The sequence below is a fragment of the Homo sapiens genome, chromosome 14 (genome assembly GCF_000001405.40).
Source record: "Homo sapiens chromosome 14, GRCh38.p14 Primary Assembly".
Taxonomy (NCBI): domain Eukaryota; kingdom Metazoa; phylum Chordata; class Mammalia; order Primates; family Hominidae; genus Homo; species Homo sapiens.
This window is the reverse complement of record NC_000014.9, coordinates 26,070,713-26,090,719: the sequence shown is the minus strand read 5'-3', so window position 1 is coordinate 26,090,719 and position 20,007 is coordinate 26,070,713. Positions and strand designations below refer to the sequence as shown.

At 34.9% G+C, this 20,007-nt stretch overlaps 1 annotated feature.

Moving 5' to 3' along the window:
* Window positions 1,931–2,540: an enhancer, noted in NCBI's record as "OCT4-NANOG hESC enhancer chr14:26557386-26557995 (GRCh37/hg19 assembly coordinates)". NCBI's record gives its function as "activates a minimal SCP1, AML or CMV promoter by ChIP-STARR-seq in primed H9 embryonic stem cells {active_cell/tissue: H9 hESC(primed)}" and the evidence as "EXISTENCE:reporter gene assay evidence [ECO:0000049][PMID:30033119]".

Genomic DNA, 20,007 nt, shown 5'->3' with positions numbered 1-20,007 from the left:
AGCCTGATTGTATGTGATCCAACTCCCAACTCCTAAATTTTACATTTTCCTTCATGGGATTACTCAGAACACCAACAGTTTTAGGCAGGGTTCCCTGGAAAAAGTCTCTGAGATGGAGGTTTGCAGATATGTATTAAGGAGTGCTCATTGGAACAAGACTGTAAAAGACCAAGGGGAGTAGGATTAGGTAGAGGGAAAATTGAAATTGTGATGATATTATAATAAGGGTCTCCACCAATCTCATGGGGAAATCTAAAGGTGGCATTGGCTCTTCAGAATTGCCCCAAATTTAAGTAAGTCAGTTTCCTGGGCTTCTGTCCTCCTATATTAACTAGTCATTGATTTAGGGTATAAACCAAAACTATCTGAGACAGGTCTCAATCAATTTAGAAGTTTATTTTGCCAAGGTTAAGGACATGCAAGAAACGTGGCCCCAGGTGATCCTGAGAAGATGTGTGCAAGGAGCTTGGGCTATAGCTTGGTTTTATATAGTTTAGGGAGACATAAGACATCAATTAATACATGCAAGATATACATTGGTTCAGTCTGGAAAGGTAGGACAACTTGATGTTGGGGGGCAGGGGCAGCGGCAGTGGGCAGGGGATGGCTTCCAGGTCATAGGTGGATTCAAAAATGTTCTGATTGGCAAGTGGTTGAAAGCATTTGTCTAAACGACTGGAATCAATAGAAGGAGTTGTAGAGACCAAGATTTTATTATGCAGTTGAAGCCTCCAGGTAGCAGACTTCAGAGAGAATAGATTTTCTTAAGATCTCTGTTTTAATGTTAATGCTTGTCAGTGTGCCTGAATTCCAAAAGGAGAAGGGTATAATGAGATATGTCTGACTACCCATTCCCACCGTGGCCTGAAGGGCTGTTTCAGCTTAACTTTGAAATGTCCTTGGCCAAGAGGAGTGGTCCATTTGGTTGGCTGGCAGGGCTTAGAATTTTATTTTTGGTTTACAAGGGCTAACTTCAGAAAGGGGCAATAAGGCTTCTCAGTTGTGAGTCATTTCTGGTGAGGGCTCTACTGTGAGCCATCAATAGGTAATACCCCCAGAAACAGGGAATGGGTGCCACATTTCTAAAGGGAGAACCTAGAGGTGTACTACAGCAGCTGCTACAAGGGGTAATTATACAGAGCATCTTCATCATCTGAATTTTCAACACTCCTATTTTAGTCCTTCCAGTTACACAAGTTGTATAAAGAAGTAAAAGTTACCTTAAGAGAGTTTCTTTTTCACTAGCGATCTAATTTTACTTAAACAGCCCTCCCTACACCAGTATCTACCCATGCCTGCCAAGCCTTTGCTTATTAATCTTCTTACGAACATCAGAAAATGTAATGCAAGCCAGTAGCAGCAATGAGTCAAAAATAATTTGATTATGAAAGATTTATAAAGATTATGAGAAAACTGATGACATCTTGAAATATTTTCTTAAAAATACTTTTTGCAGTCATCTTGCAAAAAGAAATATCAAGCAAAAATTGTGGAGTAATACAATTTTAAAATTAAAAAAGACAGGATTTTATTCAGTCTTTGTTCAAAATATTTGTTTAAAATTACAAATTAAACTTCCATATTTTACAAGCAAATAATTCTATTTAATAATTTCTAGCTCAAAATTACAGTCACCAGCTGCTATTGTAAGCAATTCATTAATTTTTTTTCCTTTATCACTTTCCTCAAATATTGATGACTTCAAATTACAATTTGGTACATACCAATGAGCACAGTCAGATACAACATACTTGAAGTCTGTATTTTATGTAATTTAGTAGTTCCCTCATGTTCTTCTGCTATAAAATGGATAGAAAGTTCATTCAGATTTTATTCTTAGAAAAAATTTTCAGGAAGTTTAAGTTATAAGTTCATTAAAAGTAATAGCAGGACATAGAGATCAGCTCTAAGTAAACCCTATGCTAAGGTATTTGTCTTTCAAGTATTTGCCTCTTCTGGAAGATAAGAAAGGTTTTCTTAACCAATTAATTGAGACTGTTGAACTAGATGTCATGGCAAACAAATTCAAGTTTTACATCACCAAGCCACTTTTCATTACAACCTTGGCAAGCACACCATGAACTTGTGTGATGTGATAATATAGCACTTCCAGGATCCCTGCTGTGCTTCACAATTGACAGATTTGAATACAGGGCTTACTGGGGGGGGCAGGGTGGGGAAAAGCTGTCTTGGCATCACTGGCAAAACAGCTCTGATTCAAATTCTGAAACAGCTCTTCTCTTGTCTCATAATGAAGGATGAACCTGATACTTGACTGTGTGACGTCATGACCACTTAGGTAAGTAAACTTGACAGTAGGGGGCCATGAATTTGCCAGTAGGTTTTCCTGGAGACTATTGGGGCCAGCCTGAGGTCAGGATAGCAACATCTTGAAAGGAATCTTGAGATTACCTCGTTTGTTATTCAACCTCTGCTCAGCCATTAACTGCCTTTACTTCATTTATCAATATCCATATCTGCTTAGTCCTCTGGATATTAAGCTTCTAGAGAGAAGGAGTCATTTCTTATTTTTGTTTCCACATTGAGACTAGTAAGATATTTCAGTTACACCCAGCATTTAGTTATTTGACAAAAATTGCAATCTAATTTTACGTGGTAAATTTTTTTCACAACATTGTTAAAAATCTCACTCAAAAACCTGTATGTTTAAATTAATCAGCCAAAAAAGTCTTTATTAAACATGGACTATGTAGTTAACTGGATTCAGTATATGTGTGAGTATGCATATGGGTGTGTGGTCTGTGTGTACATGTGTGTATGCAAATTCTCAGTGCTTTTTGATTGAAGAAATGTGCAAAAAAAATCCAAGGAAACTGAATTTACCAGTAGATGTTTGATGAAAAAGGTAAAACTTGATCTGATGATCTGAACCTTTGGGAGGAAATGAGCATAAAAATAGAGATAGACAATGGCATCCTCAATATTTGGGTAGGAACGATCACCCCAGTGAAAGAACTTTGGCTTGACAAGGAGCTAATGTACAAAGTGTTCCCAGTGTCATCTCAGTAAACAGCTTGGTCCCCCAAGGCATTGAAGGAAAGTTCTGACTAACTGTAGCTCCCAGGAAAGTTGGTAAATTAGATTCAGACTGTTGTTTCACTTATAGCTGGAGTCATCCGTAGGCTTTAAAAACATCACAAAATATGTGTGAAAGCTAGGGAAGCTGGGTGGCTGAATAGGGATATCTGCTGTTCCTAAAAAGTTTATTCCAATATCAGAGTACAAAGACAATGACCATAAAAAATGAGACAGCTACTATTACTACTATGAATAATAAGCCTGATGAGTTTAATAAGCCTGAGAGTTTGTGGGTGGTAGGCACAAGATTCCAAGCCAGATTTCCAAAGACTACTATCTTAACTTCTGCCTTCTTTCCACCTCAATCCTTTCTCTTCAGACTAGTACACAGTCTTCTGTAAAGCTGCCTAGTAAGTGTATCACCCAAACATATTTCTCCTTTTCACAGTTATCCCTACTCCAAACCCCCGGCATCTAATGTGTTGGATTTCTTTAATGTGGCATAGAAAATAAGGTAGATAGACACAGTTATGCTACATATTGAAACAGATTGAAGCTTCAATTCTTGCTTCAGTGCAGTAGGGTTACTGCCAGCTGTAGGGGATGAAAATTTTGAAAATTCCTTCCAAACCCTATGGTTAACTTGAGATTCCCTGAGTTCATTTCCAGGAGCATATATGTACTGATGTCTGCCTTTGAAGGGCATAAACTAGAAGACATTCAAATTATTATAGACTGTGGCTGCTTGGAGAGTACCATGGAAGATGAAATTTTAAGTTCTTATGCCAAACTGAGCAGCCACAGTTGCTGCAAGGGTTATGACAAAAATTACTCTTAATTGTTACAGGGACATCTTCCTCTACTCTTCACATGAAACCTTGTCATCTATCACAGGAGTGATAGTCCTTGCCCATGCAGTTATGGGGCTGTTGGTGCTTGGAGAAAATGAGATTCTGATGAAAATACTAGCCACATCAGTCTGTCAGGCCACTGACCTCTCTTTGTCATTCTCAAGACACAGCAAAGGACAAGGAAAGAGATCTAAATTGTAGACTGTCATGGCTTGGTGAAAGAGCCTGAGATGAACTAGATGATTCTAATAAGGAGTTTTCTACTAACTCAATAAAAATAAGAAAACTGGATATAGGAAGTCAATATCCTTCTGAGACTATAGTTCTTGTGCATCATCAACTTGTAGTAGTGATATGGTTTGGCTCTGTGTCCCCACCCAAATCTCACCTTGAATTGCAATAATCCCTTCATGTCAAGGGTTGGACCAGGTGGAGATAATTGAATCATGGGCCGGTTTCCCCCATGCTGTTCTCATGATAGTGAGTGAGGTCTCACAAAATCTGATGGTTTTAGAAGGGGCTTCTGCCTTTGGTGGGCACTCATTCCCTCTCCTGCCGCTCTGTGAAGAGGTGCCTTCTGCCATGATTGTAAGTTTCCTGAGGCATCCCCAGCCATGAGGAACTGTTAGTCAGTTAATCCTCTTTTCTTTATAAATTACTCAGTCTCGATCATTTCTTCATAGCAGTGCGAGAATGGACTAATACAAATAGTGATTGCCCCCTAGAGCTCCCTTCCCCCTATTTAACTAAATCCCCTTTTTCTAAGTTGAGCTCAAGTTTCCCTTCGCTCACCAGCTTTGCTCAACTCTCATGACCCTCTGAGACTGTTCCTTTCTCTTCATTCCTGTATAAATTATTGTCTTTTTCACTCCACTGGGAGATTAGTAGATGCCTTAAAATTATTTTCTAAGAAGGGACCGAGTCATAGAGATGGCTACAAATCTCATAAATACATTTTTGTGTGTCTCTTTTTACAACTATTTCTTGTTTTATATATAATGTAAAAATTGTTGATATTAAATTATGTAGAGTTGCATCTAATAGGTATTACTACGAGGAGTGGATAAAAGTGGGCAGCATTTCAGAGGGATGTAGTGCTCCTCCTCCAGTGAGCTGTTACCACCTGAGGCTTCCTACGAGGTGACTGAGTGGGGCAAAGGGACCACAGGGAATTGTCCCAGGCACCAATCAAGAAAACTCAGCTGTCCACTCCTATTACTATGTACTCATATAATAAGTAATAGTTGTATCTTTAGTTGCATTAAAGACAAGCTTTAATCATAGTTGGGTATACTTCCAGATACACAAGAATACTGACTTAATATTCCTTATATGAATAATAGAATGTTAGCTATAACACTTATTTTACTTTGATTTTGAAAATTTAGATCTATTCTAACTTATCACAATCTATACTACCCCAGACTTTTTCTAAGGAGAATAATCTTGGATTATCTCACAACCATTTATAGTCAGTAACTCAAAAAGCTGCAAGAAAATTCAAGTCCTCTATCATCTTTTACCACTTCTAGGTTTTCTACAACCTATTCTTGAACTAATTGAGAGTATAAGAAAACAAAATCATTGGTCCTTTTATCCTCATAATAACATTAACTGAATTGTTGTGTCTTTTATTGTTTAAAGGTAGATAGAGACAAATAACTATACAGCTTTTGCATTTACTTTGAAACTGCTATGGAGGATGTTGCATATGATACCATTCAATGTCTGCTGTACAGTACGCTAACATCAGACATTTACTTTAAAGTTAAAGATTAGAAAACTCTTTATTTTTTCTTAAGGAAATTGTGTGCTTTCAGCTCTTGGGCACATTTCTTTCCTTGACTTGGATACTAGAAAACTTAAATTATTTGGATGCTCAAGCCCAGAAACTATATTGAGCTTTCCTATTGGTGCATTTGTTTTCTCCTCTTAGCCATGTTTCTTACATTTGTGTTTTATTTATTTTTTTCATATTATACTTGTCATTTTGGAAGCTGATTTAAAATATTTTCTGAAAAGATATAGTGTACAAATATATTAAAATTGAAGTCACACTTAGCATTAAATGGGCAAGTGAGTGCTCATGAAGAATGCACTGGTACCTGTATCAGCACTGGACTGATACTTTCTTTGCTTGAACTCCCCTGGGACAGGTCTGTGAAAAGGCTTCAATAACAATGCTTCAAGAAAATGTTAAATAAACCTCTACATGCTGCTAGATGAAGGGAAATCATGACTGACAAAAAAAATCTTATAGATTGAAATTTATACAAGGAAATGTGGCTTGCTCAAGGCATCCTGGATACTTAATGCAGAACTAAGAGGGGAAAAGGTCCTCTTGAATACCAGTATGGCTTTTAACTCCTGACTGACTTAAATAACCTTTGACTTCAAAGGCAATGCTGCCTGAAGGGCTGGGCCAAGACAGACTAGGCATAAGTTCAAGATTTGGTTGAGCCTAAGATAATCTGTCTGCACCCCTGGATAGGACAGAAAGCAGCAGCCTTCACTATTTCTTGGTCAGAGACCTGTGCAATAATAATTCTTTCTGTATGTTCAGTGACATCTTTGGGTGCCCAATAACCTAAGTGTCTAAAAGGCAGAACTGCAGATCATATTTATTTGCCATAAGTTTGAGGTATAGCAAGATGGTCATGACTATTCATCATCCAGACAAATCTAGACAAGAGAGCCCAAGGCCAAGACTGATGTTTGGCAAGGTGGTAAAGGGCTGAAAAGTTTTCCAGGCTATAAGGCAAAATATCCATTTCTGGAGGAATCAGTATAGAAAGGTCAAAGTTGTCAAGGACAGAATTTGGGTAGTCAAAATTTGGGGCTAATTTTATTAGTGTAAGTGACCTTTGATCTTAGAGAAGAAACTCTTCTGTATTTTTCTAAAAAATAAATATTATTTTACAGCAATTTTATGTTTATAGAAAAATTGTGCAGGAAGTACTGAGTTTTCATATCCCTTCCCCCATTGTTTCTCCTATTAACATCTTGTTTTAACGTGATATGATTTGTACAACTGATGAACAAATATTGATATTAACTGAAGGCCATAGCTCACATTACAGTTCACTTTTTGACAAGTGTGTTTTGACAAATAGTTAATGCCAGGTATCCACTATTACAGTACTATATAGAATAGTTTCGCTGCACTAAAAGTGCACTATATTCAACCTATTTATCCATTGCCCTCTCCCCCTAAACTCCTAGCAAGCACTAATTTTTTACTGTTTCCATATTTTTGCCTTTTGCAGAAAGTCATATGTAGTTGGAATTGTACAATATGTAGCTTCTTCAGACTTTTCTTTCACTTAGCAACATACGTTTAGGTTTTTTGCACTTTTTTATAGCTTGATAGCTCATTTCATTTCATTGCTGAACATTACTCCATTGTATGAATATACCACAGTTTTTTAATTCTTTCACCTATTAAAGAACGTCTTGGTTGTTTCCAATTTTTAGCAATTATGAATAAGGCTACTATAAACATTAATGTACAGGTTTCTATATGGACATAAGCTTTCAACTCATTTCTGTAAATACCAAGGAGTACAATTACTCAATCTTATGATAAAGCTATGCTTAACTTTGTAAGAAACTGCCAGGCTGTCTTCTAAAGGGATTGTGCTTTTTTGCATTTCCACCAGCAATAAATAAGAGGTTTCTGTTGCTCCACATCATTATCAGCATTCAGTGTTGTCAGTACTTTGAATTTTGGCCATTGTAATGGTATACAGTAATAGCTCATTATTGTCTTAATTTGCAATTTCCTAATGACATATGATGGCAAGCATCTTTTTATGCTTAACTGTCACCTGTTTTTTTTTTTTGTTTTTTTTTTTTTTGAGACAGATTCTCGCTCTGTCGCCCAGGCTGGAGTGCGGTGGTGCAATCTTGGCTCACTGCAAGCTCCGCCTCCTGGGTTCATGCCATTCTCCTGCCTCAGCCTCCCGAGTAGCTGCGACTACAGGGGCCCACCACCACGCCCAGCTAATTTTTTGTATTTTTAGTGGAGACGGGGTTTCACCGTGTTAGCCAAGATGGTCTCGATCTCCTGACCTCGTGATCTGCCTGCCTCGGCCTCCCAAAGTGCTGGGATTATAGGCATGAGCCACTGCACCCAGCCCACCTGTGTATTTTCTTTGGTGAGGTGTTCATGCAGATCTTTTACCCATTTTCTATTGCATTTTTGCTGAGTTTTTTAAAAGTTCTTTGTATATTTTGGATACAAGGTTTTTTTTTAATTCAAATATGTATCTTGAAAATATTTTCTCCTAGCCTGTGTTTTGTTTTTTTCATTCTCTCAACAGTGTCTTTCACAGAGCAGAAAATTTTAAGTTTAATAAAATCAAATTTGGCAATTTTATCCTTTATGAATCAGGCTTTTGGTATTTTATTTAAAAAGTCATCATCAAACTCAAGTTATCTACATGTTTTTCCTATATTATCTTCCATAAATTTGATATTTGCATTGTATATTTAGGTTTGTGGTCTGTTTTGAGCTTTTTTTTTTTTTTTTGGTGAAAGTTGTGAGGTTTGTATCTATACTAGTTTTTGTTTTGCATGTAGATGTCCAGTCATTCCAGAATCATTTGCTGTAAAGACTATCCTTTCTACATTCAATTGGCTTTGCTCCTTTGTCAAAGATCAGTTGACTATATTTGTGTGGGTCTATTTCTGGGCTTTGTATTCTTTTCAATTAATTTGTATGTTATCTTTCACCAATACCATACTGTCTCGATCATTACTGCTTTATAGTAAGTGGAGAAGTTGGGTAATATCAGTCTTCTGACTTTGTTCTTTTTCAATATGTTCTTTTTCATGTGTTGGCTATTCCGGGTCTTTTGCCTTTCATATAAATTTTTGAACCTTTATGTTGATATCTATAAAACAACTTGCTGGGATTTTGGTAGGGATTGCATTGAAACTATAGATCCATATGGGAGAACTGATATTTTAATAAGTCTTCTTATCCATGAATGTATAATATTTTTTCATTTATTTAGATCTTTGATTTATTTTATTAAAGTTTATGATTTTCTTTATATAGGTTTTTTACTTTTTAAAAGATTTATACCTAATTTATTTTTTAGATGTTAATGTAAATGGAACTTTGTTTTAAATTTCAAATTCAAATTAGTTATTGATAATATACAGGCCGGGCACGGTGGCTCACGCCTGTAATCCCAGCACTTTAGGAGGCTGAGGCGGGCGAATCACCAGGTCAAGAGATAGAGACCATCCTGGCTAACACGGTGAAACCCCGTCTCTACTAAAAATACAAAAAGAAATTAGCCAGGTGTGGTCGCAAGCACCTGTAGTCCCAGCTACTCAGGAGGCTGAGGCAGGAGAATGGCGTGGACCTGGGAGGCGGAGCTTGCAGTGAGCTGAGATCGTGCCACTGCACTCCAGCCTGGGTGACAGAGCAAGACTCCGTCTCAAAAAAAAAAATTTATATGTATATGAGACACATATATGACACATATGCCACATATATATGACACCTATGACACATATATGATGCACATATACGACACACGTATACGACGCACATATATGACGCACATATGCAACTCATACACGACACATACATGACACATACATGACACATACATGACGCATACATGACGCATACATGACAGAAATCTACTTTTCTATATTGATCTTGTATCCTGTAACCTTGCTAGACTTGTCTATTAGTTCAATTATTTCACTTGTCCATTCTTTTGGATTTTCTTTATAGACAATCATATAGTCCATGAACAAAGACAATTATATTTTTTCCTTCCTAATCTATATACCTTTTATTACATTTTATTATTGCACTAAGTAGGACTTCCAATATGACAGAAAATAATAGTGGTGAGAGGAGACATCTTTGTCTTATTCCCAACCTTAGGGATTAAGTATCTCGTTTCTTACCATTAAGTATAATGTTAGCTTTAGTTTTTCTGTAAATGTTCTTTATCACGTTGAAGAGATTCCTTTTGTTCCTAGTTTTTTGAGAGGTTTAATCATGAATGTGTATTGGATTTTGTCAAATTCTTTTTATGCATCTATTGATATGATAATATAACTTTTCTTGTTCAGTCTATTGATTTGATGAATTACATTAATAGTTATTCTAACATTGAAGCAGCCTTGTATACTCAAATGAATTTGACTTGGTTATGTTGTATATTTATTTCCTTTTATTCATTGTTGGACTTGGTTTAATATTTTGCTGACAACTTTGGCATCCATGGTCATGAGAGAGATCAGACTGCAATTTTCTTTCCTACTAATGTATTTTCTAGGTTTATTATTTAGGTCATGTTGGTCTCATAGACTGAGTTAGAAAGTATTCCTTCTGCCTTTATTTTCTGGAAGAGATTATGGAGAACTGTTCTCCCTCTTTTTTCATTTCCCTTTTGGATATGTTTTGCCGGGAGCCCTCAGGTGCTGATGGGCAGAGAGTGAAGAGAAATATGGGACTGGTAGCGACAGCTTATCTTCAATGGGGCCCAGGTGGGAAGATCAGCTTTACTGGGAACTTACAGTTTCTGTTGGTGTTGCCATAGTCTATTGATAACTAATCATTGCTAGTAATGACTAAACATAGAAGGGTTTGTTTTAAAGAGTCTAACTGGTGCATATATAGAGTAAGAGAAAAGCCTGGAAACAATTATTGCAGCTATAAACCAGAGAAACAGTATCCATGTGCATAGTGGGTAATGCAATATTGATTATACATTGACTTTGTAAGTGCTGGTTGCAGATACAAAGTACAACACTGCCAACAAATTGTCTTAAAACATAAAGAACATGCTGTGTTCATTGATGTTTGAAAACAAAGAAAAAATACACTTTTTAATGTATTCAAATATCATTTTAAAAACCTGCTACATGTTAGAATAAGGGAAACCGCTATTTTATTGCACTTTATTTCTATATCTGAAAAATGAGGATTGTAATCTTGTAGAATTTTTAAGAGAAACCAAATAATTTATTTTTTATTTACTTTTAAAAGTATTCCGGTGAATTACAAAAATGAATCTAACACAGCTCTTGCCTCCAAGTAGCTTGTACTTTAGAAATAGTATTACATATACTAATATCATTATAAAACAAATGCCAGTAACGTAAGTGACTTAAAGAGGGTACCAATACAGAGACACAGGGCAGGGCTCAGTTAACGTCTTCTTAAAAGGCCAGATAATAATTATTTTTGTTTTTACAGCCTATACAATCTCTGCTGTAACTACTCAACTCTGCTTTTAGAGCACAGAATGCAGTCATAGACAATAGGTAAAAGGATGAGCATGGCTTTATCCCTATAAATATTTATTGATAAGAACAGGTGGCTGGCTGGATTTAAGTCTGTTGGCCATAGTTTGTCAATTCAGTCACAAAGGAAAAAAGAAAAAAATGTGAAAAATAGTTTTTAAATTATAAAGCTCCGTTCAAATGTAAAGTTATTATTCATTGAGCTTATTGAAGACTGATACAGTGTTTAACTTGATGTTAATACACAACTAATAGTCCCTGGGTAATAAGCCAATTTGTTGCCAGGTGAATAAAAGGAGAGTGACAATAATAATTAAGGGTAATAAACTGCACTCATCCTTTTCTTAGAGGAAAAGGAAAAGGAACTAGATCCTTCATATTTCTTTTATATTTTTAAAGGGTTTTATCTTCCCAAGAGTTTTGCAAATTTTAAATACATCTTTGTTACCTCTCCTTGATGAACTTGGGGATTTAATCTTATTCCCAACTTAATATAAGAACCCGCTATACCCTCCCCACTCCCCATTCCACCTTCTATTAATTGCACTTCAATCCTAAACCTTCCTGGTGCTAAATCAGGAGTTAGGAGTTTGGAAAAGTTGGCAACTCTTCCTCAGCTTGGCGAGTCTCTCTGTGTTCGGCTTTTAATTTTCTCTTCTTTTTTTCTCACTCAGTGGCTTAAGCTCATTCAAGTCAGCCTCCCTTCAGAACTGAAAATTTCCATTTTTCAGAATTCAGCAAGTAGGTCTTTTGTCTCTCACATTTGGAGCCAAGTAGATTGCTTTTAGCTGCTCAGTGGAATGTTCTATTTTATCATCATGAGACTAACCAGCTGCAGATTTTGAACTTGAGGGGTTTGCCCAGCAGAGTGGTCTCTATGGTAATCTGCTCTCTACCAACTCTGTTCTCAAATTTCACTCCTTGAACCACAAATCTGTTTGTTTTAACAGCTTAAACATCTTGACAACCATTTTCTGTAACATATGCAGAGTAGACATGCAAAATGTTAGTAACCAATTTATCCCATAGTTGAAATCGTTAGCACACAAGTGGTTTCAACTGGAGTTATGCATTTTTTTTTAACTAATTTATAATTGATTAACATTATTTAATTGTTTCTGTCTCTGTAGATGCTGCTCATTTGAAAGTATGATTACTGCTGTTCCAAAACAACAAAAGCTTTGCTGGGAATTCATATGTGAACAGTAGCAGAAACTTTCATTGCTGTATTAATTATCCCATGCAGAGTTTCCAGATTGAACAAATCTTTTTACCCTGTTCTTAAAAACACCATATTACTAAGAATAGGAGTCTTCCACCTCTTTAAAGATACGCATCTGTGTGTATCTTTTATACGTTGCTTCTCACTTTATGTCATCTTCAGAGCATGATTTCAAATATCAAATGTCTCTTAACTAATGTAGAATAAAAACAAGTAACCCATTTTACCATTATTTAGTTGGTAGTTTTTCACCAATATCTACCAGTATTTTAAGAGTGCCATTTCTGCCAGACTGCTAGGTGAAGTTCTGTAATCCATACTTCATACCTTGACATTGCAATTCTGCAGAATAAATTTAATGCCTACACTCATATCAGTAAATGATTATAATCTCTTAGTGGGTAGAAGCCAGACCTGTTTAATTTTCTGCATTCAGCTCTCAGATAGCAACAAGTTCAGGATTCACCAAACATATATATATATATATATATATTCCCATGTATATATATTTATATATATATATTTTTCCCATATATATATTTATATATATATAATATATATATAGCAGAATGATAAATAGTTTTTGCAACAAAATACCTAATAGAGAAAAAAATTATCAGTTGTATTCCATCTTAAATTCAGTGAGAAGAAAGTAATAGAAGATGCATGTGTAGTTGTCTTGGTTCTGAGGCAACGGAGACTCCTTGCTTCCACAGACTACAAATAACCATGTGGGTTTCACTCCAGTATATGCACCACAATGATAATAAAATTTGAAATGATGTTCCACAAAGAATATTTACTGCTCTAGAATAAGAATACTGAACCTCATAACTGAAAACGAATAGCTAACAAATACTTAACACAAAAGAATGAATTGTTTACCCCAATGATCAGGAAGTGACTGGGATACCTGCTCTCACTGCTTATGTTCAACATTCTACATTCATTGTGTATACATACTACATTTTATTCAGCCATTCATAAATTAATGGAATATAAAATTATAAAATTAATGGAAATTTGGGTTGCTTCCACTTTTTGTCTAAGATCATTTGTCCAACATTTTGGATGGACTTAGGTTTTCATTTCTTGTGGTTTATAGCTAGTCATGGAATTGTTGTGTCATATGATTAATCTATGCTTAACCCTTTGAGGAACTGTCAAATTGAGCTTGGGGACTTAATCTTATTACCAACTTAATATAAGAACATGATATCTCCCCTCCCCATTTTCATTTTCTATTAATTGCACTTGAATCTTAAAAATTCCTGGGGATAAGTCATGAGTCAAGAGTGGCTGCATCTTTTCTACATCCCCGCCAACAATGTATAAGCGTTCCAATTTCTCCACATCCCAGTTCACACTGTTAATCTCCATCTTCTTTTATTATAGCCATCCTAGAGGGTGTGAAATGAAATCTCATTGTGGTTTTGATTTGTATTTCCCTAATGGCTAGTGATATTGAGCATCTTTTCATGTACTTATGGGCCATATGTGTGTCTTCTTTGTAGAAATGTCTTTGCAAATTATTTACCTATTTTTAACTGGAATATTTGCTTATTATTGAGTTATAGGAGTTCTTTATATATTGTGACATATTCTCATATATGCTGGATTCAAGTTCCTTATCAGATACATGATTTGCAAATATTTGCTCTCAACTTGTGGGTTACCTTTTCACTTTCTAATGGCATTGTGTGCAACACGAAAGTTTTTAACTTGTATAAGGTCTAATTTATTTTTTTCTATTATCACTTTTGCTATCATCTCTAAGAAACCACTAAATAATTCAAGGTAGTGAAGATGTATGCGTGTTTTCTTCTGGGTGTTGATAAATGAGTAAATAACAATTCGAGACAAGGTATAGTAAGTAGCTGAGGTGGAGGGGGCAGATGACTTTTTACCATAACTAAGTAGAAAGTAGCTGTAAGACTCATCAATAATATGATTCTAAGAAGAAAAAGAATAAATCAAAGAAGAGACTAAGGGAAATTAAATAAAATTAAAACATAACAATATTAATATATATGGGAAGATAATTATCTCTACAAGTGCTAAATTTAATATTTAAAATTAGATTAACAAAATTAAGGCTATTTCATGAAAATAAGATAATTCAATAATTTATTAATAAAAACAGCTGCTTAACTTACACAAACAAACCAATTTATAGATGTGTTTTTACTTATCAACTGATCATTTGATACATGGAGTTGTACTTATACTATCCAAAATATTTTAGGGGTATGGACTATAATAATTAATTGATAAGTACCAAATAAAACTGACTTGGATGATCATTTGATCATTTTTCTCTGAAGATTCTTTTATAGCATCAGTTGATCAAATTGGCCAGTTACTTTGCAATCTGAAGAATGAATCTGAAACCAACTAAAAGGTCTCAAAATGTGGACATCTAATTAACTGATATTAATATTCTTGTTTTATTCTATATGTACCTTGAGAGAAGAAAGAAATTGACTTAGGAATAAAGAATTCTAATTTGCAAATTTAATTCATTTTTCAATAATATGAGGCACATAGTAAATATATAATTTGTAATACTAGAAAAGAAAAATGAGAATCAATTAGATTTATGGATATTTAGAGTAATCTTATTTGGGCTTTGTGAAAATGTTCACACATACACAAAATAATACCACTATCACATAATTAAAAAAATCTCTGAAATGGAGACTTGAAGAGAAAAAAAATACAGAAAGCTATTTTGAATCCCACAATGGAATAAATTGCCATGGTACAGTGCAAACTAATCAGAGCATATCCAATGCTGTAAGTTTCCTACTATAAATAAACATGGAGATCCACACATACTCAGATTTGATGGCCTTCCTTCAAAATGATGGAGTGTGCTGAACTTTACTTGTCTCCTGAATGTAACTACCTTTTAAAAGTTAAGGCAATTTTCCTACTTCAGGATTTCTAAGAAAGTAAGCACTTATTTTCCTCTCTTTTTTGGCCTCCACATATGTGCTCTATATGTACACATATAGTGTGTGTGTGTGTGTGTGTGTGTATGTAGGTGCACACACATATACCATATACTTATATATATGTAATTCACTAATTTCACTTTTAAGTTTTCTTATTATCGAGAACCTTTTCAATAGTGACACAATGAAAAAAAGATGCAACAAAATAGAATGAAGTCATAACAAAAAGCTAAAGATCATTTCTACCTAGAGGAAAACTCATTTTTTTTCCACCGAAAACAAAGGTTGTAAAATGGTGATGTCCATGTCCAACCTATCCTCAAGTGTGTTTTGTTTTTTTCTTTCTTTCCTTCCTTCCCTCCCTCCCTCCCTCTCTCCTTTCCTTCCTTCCTCCCTTCCTTTCTTCCTTCCTTCCTCTGATATGCAGAGGGTTTTAAAATATGTTTTAATTGATTGCCAAGATTTGAAAAGCAGCAGAATGTTTCAAATAAAAATCTAAGTTCCAGGCATCCCTTTAAAAATGGGAAGACCTGGAAACAGAAGCCTCGGTCCTGAAGGTGCTCGCCCGCTAGCCTGTTCTTAGTACCCCCTTAGACAAGGCCCAAAGATCTCCTGCCCACTGATAAATCCGTTGGTCCATTTCACTCATTTATATTATCTGCCTGACCCCTGTGAGCATTTGGGTTCGCATATATTTTTTAGACCCAAATGAACTGTTTTTCTGTTTCTCAGTGAACAATTTTCTCAGCATTCAATTAAAATAAATTACCAGCCTGGAAGCAGTGTGTTTTAGAGAAATGAAAAGAAATTTCTAATATTGCTTTCACAGTTAATATATAATTAGTGAGTAAATTGTTGCCATGCTTAGAGCTTCCTTAGGACCCTGTTCAGGAAGAAATGTAGAGTTATTCTCATTTTTATATGAACTTGTTGAAACCAAGTCTCTATTTAACATATTGGACAAAATGAGGAAAGTAATATGATTTTTTTGCTGTTCTGAAGAGGATGCCAACACAAGTGAAAACAGGTGTGTGAACAGCAGTAGGAAGTAATGAAAAACAAGATTGCTAAAATCACAAAGGCCAGTGTTGTTGTTGGTTTTTTTTTTTTTTTCTTTTTATGATGGCCTGGAGCAACAACTAAAAAACTCTTGTAGTCATTGTATCTACAGGCTTCAGTATTTGTTTCTCCCTAAGAATTAATTTTTTTTTAAAGCTTGAAAGGCTTTTCCCCTTTCCAAAGACACTTTGAAAGAGCTCGCACAGTGTATGTAGCCTAATAGAGAACAGTGATCCTGGTATAAATGTAAAACCAAAATCAAAATCAAAACATGCTTTTGAATGTAATATAGTTCTAATGAAACTGTAAGCCATAAAGTTGAAAACTCCTCTGTTTATGGAACATATCTTTTGCAATGAAGAGAAATTCTAGATCTTGGGAAGATCTTTGAAAGGTATCAAATTTAAAGACCCTACCTAAGCTTACCTCAGAAACTTCACAACATAATCTTTTTCAAGGTTTTGATCCAAAATCAGGTAAACTTTTGTGGTAGAAATTTTGTGGAAACTGAAAAAGGCAAGGAAAATGAAAAGCAGGTAGGTGCTAATCAAGCACCATTGTAATTGAAACTCACCTTTACTCCTGAAATTCTCAGGTATGCACACTTGTGGGCATAACCACACAGAATACTTATGTGAACACATATGGAGTGAGATTGTTTTAAAGAAGGATACAAGTAAAACCCAAACATGGGTCAGGATAATGGATTTTAAAGGATTTCTTTCCCTCTTTGGCATTCTAAACACACAGCTTTGCTTGTTGCATTATTTTGTCATTTAACTTCTAGGCTTCCAAAAATCTCTTCATTAAATCAGTATAATGGTTTTTAAAAAAAGCTTTCACATGAACTGAAACTTTAAAAGCATATGAGCAATTGGTAGGAAAAAACCGTAAACAACAAAGGATGCAAAAAAGTATTCTGAAACTAGCACAATAATGTACATTTGGCTAGAATGCCAAATGACCTGTTTAATATCCATATCAACATCAATCCAAAATAGTGTTTTTTACAGCTATCATCCAACCAGGAAGGTTGACAAGGAAAAAATAGGCTTATTGTTGGGAAAGATGATAAAAAAGGAGGAGAAACAACTCACTCAAATTCTTACTTTCATTTAAGAATCAGGCCTTCAAATTGTTGCTCAGATAATGTCAGGATTAGGTACAAGGAATTCTTGACTAGATCATCAAATATAGGAAGAAAACACTGCATTCAGATTAATTTTTATATGGAGTTGCATATAATTTCACAGCCATTGGAATTAATTATGGTGAGAAATGAAAAATGGAAACAGTGTCAGAAGACTAGAAATGGATAAATATCCAAATCTCCTAACAAGCAAAATATAGAAATTCAAGCACATAAATTCAATATTAATTGGGTAGTAAACAGGTTTCAAAAATGTATATGGTGATCATTAATAATAAACACATGTATTCTAAGATATAAAAGAAGAATCTCAAAGTTGGTAGTTCAAGTTAAAACAACTTCAGTTTCTTTTCAAGAGATAATTAACAGGTTGATATTTCAGGGAAAACATGTTGTAGAACAATTGATTTCTTCAAACATTTGACAAACTGTCCCATGAATTCTCAGAAGAAACTGTATAGTTTAACACTATCATACAATATGGATATAAGAATAACAAAGTGCTCACAAGAAAAAAAAATAATTGATGAGGTCTAAAAATACTATGTAGTGACTTTATTTTCTATAAATTGCAGCACAAAGTACAGCCAATAAAAAAGTGAGCTTGAGATTAGAAGGTAATAAAGCAAATATGACAGTATAGATAAAATTGAGTAGAGATAAAATTCTGTAAAAGGAATAACTCAAATGAAAGAGGTACTAAATCCCAAAGATTCTGGCATGTTAGGAGGAGTAGTATGTGTTTAGAAAATTTCCTTTAGAAAATCCACAAATATGAAGGTAGATCATTCCCGGGAAATTTTGAGTGAGGATAAAAGCAGAGGGAAGTGGAACTACTATAGAGCTATAACAGTGGGCTCAAGACGACCTCAGCAAAGGAGGAAAAACATGGCGAGTACTGGTGCAGGCACTCGAACCCAAGTAGAATTGAGGAGGGGCTTCACCTCTCCAGGCAGGTGTAAACATTTTTGTCCAGTTAAAAATAGAGCATTCAAAAAGTTATTTTTCATCTTTTATAAGAAAAATGTGACAGGGGGAACTGTTATCCTAGATTTCAGTTTTACCAACCTGGAAACATCAGTTGGTTTAATTGAAATAACAGAAAGATCCTGGGGGGATATGTAGTCACTTCAGAGTACACGAGACCTCGTCTGTGTCTAACTCTGCTAAGGGTTTAAAAAAAAAAAAAAAATTATCATGGATGGGGTAGAATACCTATTTCTATATGACCTCATTTTCTATAGACATTAAATTATGTTTAGACTGTTAAAAATATGTTTTAGGCACTTATAGTAAACAAAAACAAAATTTCACACTTTTAAACCAAAACACATCCTTTTACTTTTCATAGATGTGTTTCTGTGTCAAGATTCATGGAAGGAAAAATGAAACATTCTTTAAAGTTCTAAAAAAAATAGTGCTTTTTGTTTGTTTGTTTTGAAAGTAGTAGTTTGTTTTGAAAGAAGTAGTGTAAGCTCAATTGTTCTGGCTACATTAGTAATACCTGCTGTATAAGTAATAAATTCCAAAGTATCAGTGGTTTATGAAATGGAAGCATACTTCCCATTCATATAAAGTTTAATAATTAATTATTGGGATGGGACAGGTTGTTGATAGAAAGGGAAGAATACTCTGTTCCATTCAAGGGCCCCAGGATAATGGTGGCTTCATTATCTTCATTGTGTGGTTTCAACAATTACTCTAAGAAACAGAGCATGAATGATTATATGGGAATTTTACATAGGCTAGTACTAGAAATGATACATGTCCTTTATGTCCAAATTGTACTAGCGCCCCCCCCCACTCCCCATATTGAGGCAAGGGGAAATTGGATTTATAAACACTGTCTGTAAAACTAGTTCCTAGCAACTGCTCTAAACCCATAGATGGGAGCACAAGTCTTTGGAAAACCAGTGACTTGTGTTACCCTTATATGGAGTTATTTTGATATAGAGTATTTAAAATCTGTTAATATAAAGACAATGGTTTATTTGACACATCACTGTTTATTCCCTGAACAGTGAAGATTGATATTTTAGAGACCAATTGAAAAACGCTAAATATTATTGTTTTTGATGGGAGAAAATGTTTTTAATGGTCTCATCACAAACATTAAAAATCATTAAAAGGGTCCTTGTTATCAGACAGTATAAAACATTTAAAATATAAGCTCATTGAATTATAGAATTTCAGAACTACAAGAAACCTTGGAGACTGTCTAATCCAACACCATTTTTTAGCAAATAGAATCACATGTTATATATTATGCATTTAGGTTATAAATTTATCATCGAGTGCAGAAATATACGAAGCCAGTATTTTTCTTGTGCCCAAATGAAACCCACACAATGAGCTAAGCACTTAGGTTAACTGTTTCAAGCTACTAAGCTACTAGACATATCCTCGCTGACATTGTGAAGTGTAGAAAGGGACGATGATAATTCTGCAGCT